This window comes from Homo sapiens, chromosome 4, assembly GCF_000001405.40.
Source record: "Homo sapiens chromosome 4, GRCh38.p14 Primary Assembly".
Lineage (NCBI taxonomy): Eukaryota > Metazoa > Chordata > Mammalia > Primates > Hominidae > Homo > Homo sapiens.
The window spans coordinates 36611501-36626075 of NC_000004.12; the positions used below are offsets into that span (position 1 = coordinate 36611501).

The 14575-nt window shown below is 36.2% G+C and overlaps 1 long non-coding RNA gene across 1 annotated transcript in view, besides 1 other annotated feature; it reads right to left on the reverse strand.

Moving 5' to 3' along the window:
* The window catches only part of LINC02505 (long intergenic non-protein coding RNA 2505), a 145364-nt gene that overhangs the window by 114964 nt on the left and 15825 nt on the right, over positions 1 to 14575 (reverse strand). The window contains exon 2 of the long non-coding RNA NR_149124.1: positions 3954 to 4026. This is a non-coding gene — a long non-coding RNA (long intergenic non-protein coding RNA 2505). The remainder of the gene's footprint in view (positions 1 to 3953; positions 4027 to 14575) is intronic.
* Positions 1754 to 1954: a silencer, noted in NCBI's record as "peak5020 fragment used in MPRA reporter construct". NCBI's record gives its function as "represses an SCP1 promoter by STARR-seq MPRAs in K562 erythroleukemia cells {active_cell/tissue: K562}" and the evidence as "EXISTENCE:reporter gene assay evidence [ECO:0000049][PMID:32103011]".

Sequence of the window (14575 nt, forward strand, 5' to 3'; positions counted from 1 at the left end):
GCAGAAATGTGAAAGCAAGTTCTTCAAGTTGAAATGAAAGGATGTGTGATGGTTGATACTGAGTGTCAACTTAATCAGATTGAAGAATACAAACTATTGATCCTGAGCATGTTTGTGAGGGTGTTGCCAAAGGAGATTAACATTGAGTCAGTGGGCTGGGGAAGGAAGGTCGACCATTAACCTTGTTGGCACAAGCTAATCAGCTGCCAGCAAATATACAGCAGGCAGAAAAACATGAAAACGAGAGACAGGCCTAGCCTCCCAGCCTACATCTTTCTCCCTTGCTGAATGCTTCCTGCCCTTGAACATCTGACTCCAGTGTTCTTCAGTTTTGAGACTCAGACTGGCTCTCTCCTTGCTCCTCAAGCTTGCAGACAGCCTATTGTGGAAACTTGTGATCATGTAAGTAAATACTTAGTGAACTCCCATATATAAACATACATATGCTATATAGCATATATACATGCTATTAGTTCTGTCCCTCTAACAGAACCCTGACTAATACAGATTTTGGTACCAGGAGTGTTCTAGAGGAACAGAATATTAAGGATGGAGTTCCTTCATTGGTTTGGGGGTTGCTGGAGTTGGCTGCTTAATATGATTAGACCCCAAAAATGCTAAGGACTCTACTTCTAGTAGTATGGAGAGCACTGATAGTCCTTGGTGTGAACTGTTCGAAGAGTTATGCAAAATAAATGCATTTGACATTCCTGATTCACCATTTGTGAGAGGCAAGTTTAGTGACTCTGTGAGTAATACCTTTGACCATATGTGGAGAACCAAGGAAAATAATAAAGCTTGTTGTTTGCTCTTAAGTTCAGTGGACAAGTGATGAAAGACAATGATGAACTCAGGGATTCTGTCTCCTGGCTTCAGAAGCAGATAATGAGCCTCAAATCTGCCAAGGTTGCCCTGAATGAGAGTCTTGTCTCCTGTAGAGAAAGAGCTGAAATTGTGGAAAAACAGACATAAGCACTTATGTGAGTGGCTGACCTGCAATAAAAGGTGCATGCAGAGCCTTGCCCAGTGTCTACTGTTAAAGTGAAGGCATTGATTGGGAAAGAATGGTACCCTACAATTTGGAACATGGACATGTAGGGGGACCCTGACAAAGCTGGAGACGTTGAGTTTGTAAACTCTGATGAACCTTTTTTATGCCAGAAAGAACAGCTTCCCCATCCCCAGTACTGGCAATATCTGCTCCCTGACCCATACTGCTATCAGTCTTTCCACCTTTGTCTGAAGAGATAAACCCTATGCTGCCTGAGGCAACAGTGATGGCCTCCCCTGAGGCAGTTGCCAGGCAAAATAGTGTTGATTCTCCTCAGGAGCCACCCCCAACACCCCTGTTTGCTACTAGAATATAACTAGATTAAAGTCCTGGCGGGTCCCTAGAGGTGAAGTTGGGAGTGTGACCCATGAGTGGGTGCACTACACTCAAAAAGAACTGTTTGAGTTTTCTAATTTATATAAACAGCAATCTGGAGAACAGGCATGGGAATGGATATTAAGGGTATCAGATAATGGTGGAAGGAACATAGAGTTGTGTATCAGGCTGAATTTATTGATTTTGGCCCACTCAATAGGGACTCTGCTTTCAATGTTGCAGCTCAGGGCATTAAAAAAGGTTCTAACAGTTTATTTGCTTGGGTAGCTGAAATACAGATTAAAAGATGGCCCACTGTGAATGATCTGGAAATGCCTGATCTCCCTTGGTTTAATGTAGAGGAAGGGATCCAAAGGCTTAGGGAGATTGGGATGATGGAGAGGATTAGTCACTTTAGACCTACTCATCCCAGCTGGGAAGCTCCAGAAGACAAATCCTTGAGCAATACCTTGCAAAATAGCACCTGCATTTTTGAAGAGTCCTGTAATTGCTCTTCTCTGTATGTCAGATCTAACGCTGGGACACTTTGGGCTCCTCCTACCTTTATGTCAAGAGTTTAAGCAGGGAGTTATGCTGTTGGCTGGGGTGATTGACCCAGACTATCAAGATGAAATCAGTCTAGTACTCCATAATGGAGGTAAGGAGGAGTACGCATGGAATACAGGAGATTTATTAGGGTGTCTCTTAGTATTACCATGCCCTGTGATTAAGGCTAATGGGAACCTACAACATCCCAATCCAGGCAGGACTACAAATGACCCAAACCCTTTCAGGAATGAAGGTTATGGTCACTCCACCAGGAAAAAAAACATGATCTGCTGAGGTGCTTGCTGAAGGCAAAGGGAATACAGAATGGGTAGAAGAAGAAGGTAGTCATCAATACCAGCTATGACCACATGACCTGCTGCAGAAATGAGGACTGTAATTGTCATGAGTATTTCCTCCTTCTTTTCTTAAAAACATGTTTGTGCATGTATACACTTGTACTAAGAAAATAACTTCATTTTATTTCCTTTCTCCTTTATTATGTGACATAAGATTTATTGACTTCATATCAGCATTTAAGTATTGTTAACTTTATGAAATAGTATTTGGGTTGGGGATTGGTGTGTTTCCAGTTGTCCGAAGGACAGTTGTGTTATGTTAGGCATAATTATTACCCTATTTTTGTCTTTATTTGAAGATTATGTATGATCTCAGGAGATGTGTATGGGTTCAAGTTGACAAGAAGTGGACTTCTGATGGTTAATACTGAGTGTCAAAGGATATTCATCCTGGGTGTGTCTGTTTGGGTGTTGCCAAAAGAGATTAACATTTGAGTCAGTGAACTGGGGAAAGCAGCTCCACCCTTAATATGATGGGAACAATCTAACCAGTTGCCAGTGAATAAAAAGCAGGCAGAAAAAACATGAAAGAAAGAAGGGCCTAGCCTTCCAGCCTACATCTTTCTCTCATCCTGAATGCTTTCTGTCCTTGAATATCGGACTCCGAGTTCTTCAGTTTTGGGACTCAGACTAGCTCTCCTTGCTCCCCAAGCTTGCAGACAGCCTATTGTGGGACCTTGTGATTGTGTTAGTTAATACTTAATAAACTCTCATATAGATATAGATATAGATATAGATACACACATATATATCTCTATATATAGATATAGATACACACATATATCTATATATAGACATAGATATATACACACATATATATCTATATATAGATATAGATACACACATATATATCTATATATAGATATAGATATAGATACACACATATATATCTATATATAGATATAGATATAGATACACACATATATATCTATATATATAGATATAGATATATATACACATATATATCCTACTAGTTCTGTCTCTCTAAGAGAACCCTGAGTAATACAGAATGCGAAACAGAAATGCAATGGCATAAGAAAATATGACAGTTTTGGTGAAGGTAAATATATAGACAAATACAGGTAGTTAAATCACTTTTTATTACAGAATAACAGTTAAATGTGTTCAAAATAAGCATAACTAAAAATGTTAAGAGATATACAATATAAATAGATGTAAATTATGACTATAACATAAGGTGGTATGGTAGTTAACATATAGGGTTTTGTATGTGGTTAAATTTATGTTGTTATAAGCTTAAAATAGACTATTATATAATATTTTATGTAAACCTTCAGGTAAACAAACAAACTACAGAAGTTACAGAAAAGAAAAAAGAAAAGAATCAAGTAATATCAACTAAGAAAATCCACAGATATAAATAAAGACAAACAAGACTAACAGAAAAACAGAAAGCAACAAACAAAAGGCAATAGTAAATACTTTTATATCAATAATTATTTAAATGTAAATTGATTAAATTATACAATCAAAAGACATAGATTGGCTAAATGAATTCAAAAACAAGATTCAACAATATGCTGTCTATAAGAAACTCACTTCATGTATTAGTCCGTTTTCACACTGCTATAAAGAAATACCTGAGACTGCCTAATTTATAAAGGAAAGAGGTTTAATTGACTCACAGTTCCACATGGCTGGGGAGGCCTCAGGAAACTTACAATCATGGTGGAAGGTGAAGGAGAAGCAAGCACCTTCTTCACAAAGTGGCAGGATAGAGGAGAGAAGGAGAACCTTCCAAAAAAATACAAACAATCAGATCTCGTGAGATCTCACTCACTATCATGAGAGCAGCATGGAGGAAACCACCCCATAATCTAGTCACCTCCATATTTTGACATGTGGGGATTACAATTTGAGATGAGATTTGAGTGGGGACACAGAGCCAAACCATATTATTTCACTTTGGCCCCTCCCAAATCTCATCTTTTCACATTTCAAAACCAATCATGCCTTCCCAACAGTCCCCCAAAGTCTTAACTCATTTCAGCACTAACTCAAAAGTCCACAGTCCAAAGTCTCATGTGAGACAAGGCAAGTCCCTTCCACCTATGAGCTTATAAAATCAAAAGCAAGTTAGTTACTTCCTAGATACAATGGGGGTACAGGCATTTGGTAAATATACCCACCCAATTCTTGTCTTCTGTGCACCTGCCAAATATCACATGTAACCTGTCAAGGCTTAGGGTTTGCACCCTCTGAAACAACAGCCTGAGCTATATGTTGGCCCCTTTTACCGGGGCTGGAGCTGGAGCAGCTGAGTCACAGGGCACCAAGTCCTGAAGCTACTCAAAACAGTGGGGCCCTGTGCCAGGCCCACATAATTATTTTTCTCTCTTAGGCCTCCAGGCCTGTGAGGAGAGGGGCTGCCATGAAGGTCTATCTATGACATTCCTTGGAAAAATGTTCCACATTGTCTTGGTGATTAACATTTGACTCCTTGTTACTTATGCAAAATTCTGCAGCTGGCTTGAATTTCTTTTCAGCAAATGGGTTTTTCTTTTCTATCACATAGTCAGGCTTCCAATTTGCTAAACTTTTATGTTGTGCTTCTTCTTTTAAAACATTAAGTCCCAATTTCAAATAATATCTCTCAAGTTCAAAGTTCCACAGATCTCTAGGGCAGGGGCAAAATCCCACCAGTCTCTTTCTAAAGTGTAGCAAGAGTGATCTTGACTCCAGTTCCCAAGAAGTTCCTCATCTCTATCTGAGATCACCTCAACCTAGACTTCATTGTCAGCATTACTATCAGTATTTTGGTCAAAACCATTCAACAAGTCTCTAGGAAGTTCTAAACTCTCTCACATCTTCCTGTCTTCTTCTGAGCCTTCCAAACTATTCCTCTGCCCACTACTGAGTTCTAAAGTTGCTTCTACATTTCGAAGTTTCTTTATAGCAGTACACCACTCTACCAGTACCAATTTACTATATTATCCCATTTTCACACTGCTGTAGAGAATACCTGAGACTGAGTAATTTATATATTTAAAAAAGAGGTTTAATTGACTCATAGTTCCTCATGGATGGGGAGGCCTCAGGAAACTTACCGTCATGGTGGAAGGGGAAACAGGCACATGTTACATGGCGGTAGCTGAGAGAGAGAGAGAGTGAAGGGGGAATAGCCCCTTATAAAACCATCAGATCTCATGAGAACTCACTTACTATCAATGACAACAACATGGCGGAACTGCCCTCATGATCCAATAACCTTCCCTCAACATATGGGGATTACAATTTGAAATGAGATTTGGGTGGAGACACAGAGCCAAACCACATCATTTCATATTTAAGGTCACACACAAGCTAAAAGTTAAGGGGTGGAAAAAGGTATGTCGTGCAAATGGTAAGTAAAAGAGAGCAGGGGTAGTTATATTTACACCAGGTAAAATATTTAAGAAATTTAAGCCAAAAACTGTCACAAGAGACAATGAAGGTCATTATAAAATGATAAAAGGGTCAATACACTAGGAGGATATAACAGTTACAAATATTTATACATAGGTGTGTGTGTGTGCCCTACATCAGAGCACCTAAATATATAAAGCAAATGTTGATAGAACTGAAGAAATAAATAGACAAGCAATACAATATTACTTGCGAACTTTAGTATCACACTTTCAAAGGTGGACAGAACATCAAGATGGAAGATGAATAAGGATACAAGGCACTTAAATAACAGTACATACTGAATGAACCTAACAGACATGTACAGAATCTTCCACCCAGCAACAGCAGAATACACACTCTTCTTAAGAACACATGAATCTTTATCCAGGATAGATTACATATTCAGTCACAAAACCAGTCTGAACAATATAAGAAGATTTTAATTATACCTAATATTCTTTCTGAGCATAATGGAATGAAACTAGAAAACAGTACCAGAAGGAAATGAAAAAATTCACAAGTAAGTGGAAATTAAACAACACACTCTTGAACAACCTTTGGGTCAAAGAAGAAATCAAAAAGGGACTTAGAAAATACCTTTAGACAAACTAAAATAAATACAACACACCAAAACAAATAAGCAAACTCATATTACACAACTAATCAGAAAATGAAGAATAAACTATGCTTAAAGTTTGGGATACTTCCTAACTGGAGATCGTGTCCCTGGTGGAAGGCCATAAGATCCCCTAGCACCAGCTTCACCCAGGGGAAAGAAAGCGTCAGTTTATATATCCAGTGCCCCAACTTTTCTGAGAAGGCTTCCCAGAGGACTGGTTTCTTCCTTGCGAGTCCTGGAACTCTGATGGGTTTAGCACAGTCTGGCCACCCAGCATAAAGAAAAAAAACAACAAAAATTAGTGCAAATAGAAATAAAACAGAAAACAGAAAAACAATAGAAATAAACAATAAAAGTAAGAATATTTTTTGGAAAGATAAACAGACCAATCTTTGGCTAGACTAACTATAAAAGGAAAAGAGAAGACTTAAGTGAGTTCAGAAATGAAGGAACAGTTATTGCAACACATACTCTACAAAAAAAAAAAAAATTAGAAGGCCAGGCCCAGCAGCTCATGCTTGTAATCCTAGCACTTTAGGAGGCTGAGTGGGAGTATTACTTGAGCTCAGGAGTTCGCAATAAGCCTAGGAAACATGGCAAAAACCCCATCTCTACAAGAAATAATAATAATAAAAAGCTGGGTATGGTGGCATGTGCCTGTAGTTTCAGCTACTCAGAATGCTGAGATGAGAGGATTACCTGAGCCCAGGGAAGTCAAGGCTGCAGTGAGCCCTGATCACACAACTGCACTGCAGCCTGGGTGACACAGTGAGACCACCGTCTCAAATAAATAAATAAATAAATAAATAAAAGAACATAAGACAATACTACGACCAATTATATGCCAACAAACTGGATAACTTAGAAGAAATCAATAAATTACTAGAAACATAAAACCTACCAAGATGAATCCTGAAGAAATAGAAAGTGTTAACAGATTTATAGCTGGTATGGAGATTGAATCCCTAATCAAAAACCTCCAAAAACAAAAATCACAGGAGCAGATGGCTTCACTGGTGAATTCTACTAAACATTTAAGGAACAAACACCCATCATTCTCAAACTCTTCCAAAAAACTGAATAGAAGGGAAAGTTCCCAAACTCATTTTACAAGTCCAGTATTTTCCTGATACCAAAGCCAGACAAAGATAAAGAAAACAGCAAGTCAATATCCCTGATGAATATAGACACAGAATCCTCAACAAAATACTAGCAAATTGAATCCAAAATTACATTAAAAGGATCATCAACCATAACTGAGTGGGATTTATTTCTATGATGCATGGATGATGGTTCAATACACAGAAGTCAGTTAATGTGATACGCCACATTACCTGAAAAAGTAAAATTCGCATGATCGTCTAAATAGAGGTAGAAAAATATTTGAATATTTGACAAAATTTAGTACTCTTTGATCATAAAAGCTCTCAAGATACCAGAGATAGGACCAGGTATGGTTGCTCAAGTCTGTAATCTCAGAATTTTTGGATGCCGAGGCAGGAGCATCACTTGAGCTCAGGAGTTTGAGAATAGCCTGGGCAACACAGTGAACCCTCATCTCTACAAAAAAATAAATAATAAATAAAAAATTATCTGCATACGGTGGCACGCACCTGCATTCACAGCTCCTCTGCAGGCTGAGGCACGAAAATCACTTGAGCCTAGGAGGTCGAGGCTGCAGTGAGCCATGATTGCACCACTGCACTCCAGCCTGATTGACAGACCAAGACCGTATCTCAAAAAAAAAAAAAAAAAAAAAAAAAGGAAAGAAACTTGGAATGTAAGGAAATTACCTCAGAGCTCAACATCATACTCAATGATAAAAAAAAGATTTTCCTATAAAATCAGGAACAGGCAAGAATGTTTCCTTTCTCTGTTTCTATTCAATAGAGTATTGGAGGTCCTAGCCATAGAAATTTAGCAAGCAATAGAAATAAAAGGCACCAAATTGGAAATGGAACAGTAAAACTGTCATTTTAAGAGGTTATGATCTTATATATAAGTAATTCTAAAGAGTCTACTTAAAAATCTATTAGAACTAATAACCGAATTTAGTGAAGTTTCAGGATAAAAGATCAACACACAACAATCAGTTGCATTTTTATACACTAAATTGAAATATCTTAAAAGGAAATTTTTGTACAATTTCATGTACAATAGCACTAAGAAGAATAAAATAACTAGGAATAAAATGTAACTAAGAAGGTGAAAAACTTGAATACTAAAAATTACAAAACATTTATGTTAGACAAGACACAAACAAATGGAAATCTATCCCATTCATGGACTGGAAGACTTAATATTATTAAAATGTCCACACTACTGGAAGTAATCTACAGATTCAATGTAATCCCTAGCAAAATTTGAATGGCATTTTTCACAGAAATAGATAAAATTCTAAAATTTCTATGTGATAAGAAAACACATGAATAGTTAGGCCAATCTTGAGAAAGAAGATAAAAACTGGAAGCATCACACATTCTGAATTCAAAATGTGTTACAAAGTCACAGTAATTAAAACAGTATAGTACTGACATCAAGACAGATATATAGACCAATGTAACTCAATAGAGAGTCCAGAAATAAACCCAAGTATGTATGGTCAACTGATCTTCCATAAAGGTTCCAAGAATAGAAAATGAGAAAAGCACAGTCTCTTTGACAAATGATGGTGGAAAAACTGGATATCCACATGCAAAAAAAAAGAGAAAGAAACTAGACCTTTTTATTACACCATATACAAAAATCAACTGAAAATGGAACAAAGGTTTAAACCCAAGACAAGAAACTATAAAACTCCTAGAGGAAACCCCAGGGAAAAACCTTTACATCAGTGGTCTTGAAAATGATTTCATGGATATGCCACCAAGACCACAGGCAAGAAAAATAAAAATAAGCAACAGGGACCACATCAAACTAAAAAGCTTCTATATGTCAAAAGAAACAATAGAATGAAAAAACAAGTAAAGAATGGGAGGAAATATCAGATAACTATATATCTGATAAAGGTTGAGTTTCCAAAATATATACAGGAACTCCTACAACTCAATAGTAAACAAAACAAAAACCCTAATAACCCGATTTAAAAATGGGTTAAAGAGTGGAAAAGATATTTCTCTAGAGAATACATGCAAATGGCCAAAAGGTACATAAAAGGTGCTCAACATCACTAATTATCACAAAAATGCAAATCAAAACCACAATGATATATTACCTCTCACCTACCAGAATGGTTATTATATATATATTTGATATATATGATATATATATATATATGATATATGTATATATAAATCAAGAACAGAAACAATACCAAAGGCAACAAATGATGGTGATTTCCAGGTTCAGTTCAGTTTTAATACATATATATAGCAAATGCTGGTGACGATAAGGAGAAATTAGAACCCTTGACCATTATTGGTGGGAATGCAAAGTAGTGCAGCCACTACGGCAAACAGTATGACAGTTCCACACACACAAAAAAGACACCTATCATCCTACCATATGATCTGGCAATCCCACTTCTGATAATTTTTCCAAAATATTTGCAATCAGAATCTTTAAAATATATTATCAATCCTATATTCATTGCATCTTTATTAAAATAGCCAATATGCGGAAATAACTTAAATGCCCATAAACAGAATGGATAAAGAAAAATGTGGGATATACATAAAATGCGATACTATTCAGCTTTAAAAACAAAAAAGGAAACTCTGCGATATGCGACAACATGGATTTCAAGTGAAATAAGACAGTCACAGAAAGACAAATGTTGCATGATTCCCCTTATGTGGGGTATCTAAAATAGTCAAATTCAGAATCAAAAAGTGGAATGATGGTTACCAGGGGCTAGGGAGAGGTTAAATGGGGAGTTACTACTGATCAACTGGCATAAATTTCAGTCAAGCTAGATGAGTAAGCTCTGAGATCTGCTGTACAGCATTGTACCTATAGTCAACAAAAATGAATTGTACACTTAAAAATTCCTTAAGGCTGGGCACGGTGGCTCACGCCTGTAATCCCAGCACTTCGGGAGGCTGAGGCGGGCAGATCACCAGGTCAGGTGATCGAGATCAGCCTGGCCAATATGGTCAAATCCCGTCTCTATTAAAAATACAAAAATTAGCCAGGCGTGGTGGCACACACCTGTAGTCCCAGCTACTCGGGAGGCTGAGGCAGAAGAATCGCTGCCACCCAGGAGGCAGAGGTTGCAGTGAGCCAAAATTGCACCGCTGCACTCCAGCCTGGGTGACAGAGCAAGATTCCATCTCAAAAAAAAGAAGAAAAAAATTATTAAGAAGGTAGATTTCATGTTAAATGTTTTTATCACAAGAAAATAAAATAGAATTACATTAAATTTTTAAAAAAGACAAAAAGGAAACTAGGTCCTTCCCTAAAGGAACTCACACTGCAGGGTAAACAAAGGACAGAGAACTGTACAAGTACACTACTACAAAGAGATGATTACCGTAATAAATGTATGGTTAAAGTGCTATTAAGAAGGACAAAGCTAACAATTTATAATAGAGAACGGTGAGATGAGAAGTCAAATAATTTTTAAGAATTCTTGTGAAGTTTTTTATATATAATTCACTGCCTGTAATTAAATGGATGTCTTTCTATATATTCAGAACTGTTAAAAGCATGTGTCTGTTTTCTATCAATTAGATTTTTTGTTTCCCAGGAAATATGAAATGCAATAACATCATAGAAATTTAGAGACAGGAGTGACCTTAAAAAAGAGTTTAGCACCGAATTACAGTTGATTTAAAAATAGAACAAAACTGTTTCCAGATAGTTTGGGATATGTTCAATTTGGGGACACAAATTTGGTTGTTAGGAGAATAATGCTATCACCCCTGTCTCTTGCTTCAACTTCCAATCCAAGATTTTGTCTAGAGCATGAATCTTTTTATTCTTATTTTGTTCTGTGCCTGTTATTGTTTCTGTGTTTTGTTTGTCTATTTTTTATTCAGTGCATAGCAAAATCCTAAACTTCAGAAGATATAAAGATGCCTGTAACATAATGAATAGACTTCTTTTGGCCTCTAGAAAAAATTCAGAACAGTACCACAGCACTTTATTAAAGATGTGCGGTTGTTCTGAAACAGTCAGTTTGGCTCTGAAAATCATACTTCATGCCTTAAGAGAAATTTATGCACTGCCAAATCTTTTGTAAATCTCATTTCACAAACTGTGTTTGAGGAATACTGAAATCGATGCTATTCACACAGACAATATTAGCAAATGTATTTTTTCCATGCAAAATATATGCTTGTCATTTTTATTATCTACTAGTATGCGTATGCTTATTACTGATGTAAAAGATTTATTTAAATATTTCCCACGGCCTTCAGCTCTTCTGAGGCCATGTAACAAAATTATCTTGTATTTCATTAATTTTTTCTCTATCTTGCTATTATGTTGGTAGTTCTATTACTATTGATTTTGGTAATCATCCCAAAATGTCAGTTAGGCTTAGCTTTAAAAAGAAAAAAGAAGAGATTGACAGAGTCAATGAATCTTCCCAAAGTTTCTTATGTTTATAAATGTCTATTTTATAAAGAAAAAGCTTTTAAATTCATTAGGTGTGCTTTGTGGAAGATGTTATCCTAAAACTGTGTTATTAAGTTGTATTCTAACAGGCCTTTTTGTTTGAGCTACTCAGTTGATTTCTTAGCTTCAGTAAGTAAATATGATCCTACCTACCAAGTCTTACAAACAAATTTTTAATATTCACAAAAGATACATTATCTTAATTGCCCTTCTTTAGTCAAATGGCTGCACATTTAACATAGGCTTGAGAAGCAGTCACTTTTCTATATCTTTAAATGAAAAAGAGCTATTTATTGCTATGTTGAAATTATTGCTTGGCTCAATATTCCATTTTTATACTTCAGAAATAAGAAATTTCACTTACTGTTAAAGAAACTGTTCCTTACATGTTATCATTTGAAAGTCAACAAGAAATTGTATTTATTGATTGTGAAAATTGAACTCAAAGTACATTTCAAGAAAATTTACATAATAAGTATAAATACTATATATGATCTTAGAAAACATTATTTGCACATTGATTTCATAGTACTGCTGGAATCATGGAGAGATTTTAAAACCATTATTCTGAATTGAATCTGCTTCTGAGAATTGTTTTGAGTACATCATTCTATCTTTATAACTTGTCCTTTAGTAATTATGCTTGTATAATATTTGTACCCTTACAGATGTTTATATTTTAAAATTCTCATACCAACATTATTTCAATATTACTCTTTCATAATGTATTAAAAAGCCTTACAAATATTTCATTATATATTTTTATTTCAAATTGCTATAAACTCTATCAGGACATTTTGGTTGTAACAATCTAAGTTCCATACAACTATATCTAGTGTAAGTGAAAATGAAATTTGGAGGCTTATAAAACTGAAAGCTCCAGGGTAGATTTGACTTAAGACATATTGGTATTCAAGAATTGAAAACATCATCAGGCCTCTCTCTTCATCCCTGGGTAGTCTTTGGTTTTAGGAATGCTTTTCTACCTTGTTGGCAAATATGATCCCTGGAAGCACTAGAATTACTAATATTTCCAGAGGTAAGAGTTGTATTTTACTCATGAACCCAGAAAAATAACTCCCAGAGATGGCTTTTATTGGCTCAGCTGGAGTCATCAACCCATTCTTGAATCACTAACTGGGGCGAGGGTATGAACTACTCTAGTGAACTGGGCTTGGACTACATGCCTGCATTGAAGCCAGAAGTCAGCCTCATTGAAGCCACTGTAACAGATGGCAGATACAGGCATGACTTCTCAATATAAAAAAGTATAGAGTCTGCAAACTTATTAATTCACATAGCTTTATATAGCTACAAATAACACTCATACTTTCATCTATATTTCCATTTTTAGAGATATGAAAAATAATATGCTAGTTTCAAGATATTCAGTAAGTCCATAGGCATACCTAACATGGAATATATTATGACATTTAATCAGCCTTATTGAAAATCTGAGCTTTTTACCAGGTTCTCTGAATCCTGTCAAAATACCTGAATTTCAGAGCTAACATTTAAGAACTAACAGTAAAAAAAGAGGAGTATAGAAGGAAACAGTCATATGAACTTTGCGACCTAGACAGTTGCTTGCTTAATTTTTTAGTCACGGTTATACTGTCAGAACCTGAATACTTGAGTTAGGAGATGAAACACATACAATGAATGAGAGTAACTGAGGATCAATATCCAAGTTTTGACTAATGATTGAAGTTCAGTGTGCAGTCAACTGCAAATCGTCTATCACTCAGTATCATAACAAACTTAATATATCCCTTTTACTCTCTCAAGGCAATACTGAGAACAACTAACAGAATTTCAGCAGCTATGTCAGTTGATCAAATAACACACTCTACTTCCAGGGAATACAACAAAGAAAAGAGGTCTATTTATTAAATAATTACATATTGAGTGACTGCTATGTGTCTGGTACTAGGAATATATCAGTCGATAAAACAAACAAATATCTCCACCCCTATACACCTGATGTTCTATTAGACCAAGGTATACTGATCCTATTTTTAACTTTTCACTAAGAGGGAATTTGATTTTTTTTATCTATTATAACATATTGGGTATCTTGGCTTGTTAAATTGATTAGTATTGAGTGAAGTACTGTTTGAGGTATGATCATGGCATGATGCAGACTAATTTGAAGAGGCCATGACTTTAGCTATGCTGTCACACAGAAAGCCCAAACTTAACAAGAGTAACTTTTATGCTGTCCCATTCCACCTCCGCCCTGTTTGTCAGGCTTGGCATATTTTTGTAAATAACAATTCTGTAAAAATCATAGTTAGCTGGACAAGTGTTGAATTTTTCTCTTTAGTTGGGGGGGAGAAACTTTTTTGTTTATATGTAGGATATTTAAAATTCATTAAAGGGGGACATTTTAATAATCTACATACAAAAGGAAGAGCAAAAGAGAATGTATATTGGGGTTGGTTGAGAGTCAGTATGGGAGTGTGCTGTACAGCTCAGCAGAGAATGGTGGTGAACATCTTCACAATGTCCTTCTGGGAAGCACTCTTCTCCACTTAGCAATATGATTCCTTCAAGGCTGTTGGAGGCTGAAAGGTTGAGGGTCGTGATCAACTCAGTATTAACACTGGAGGCTGTATGAGTAAACAGCAAACTCTTCTCATAAATGCAGAATGTTGGCAAACTGACAAACTGCATCTGCCACCCAGAAGGAATGCTGAGGGCAGTCACAACCCAGGC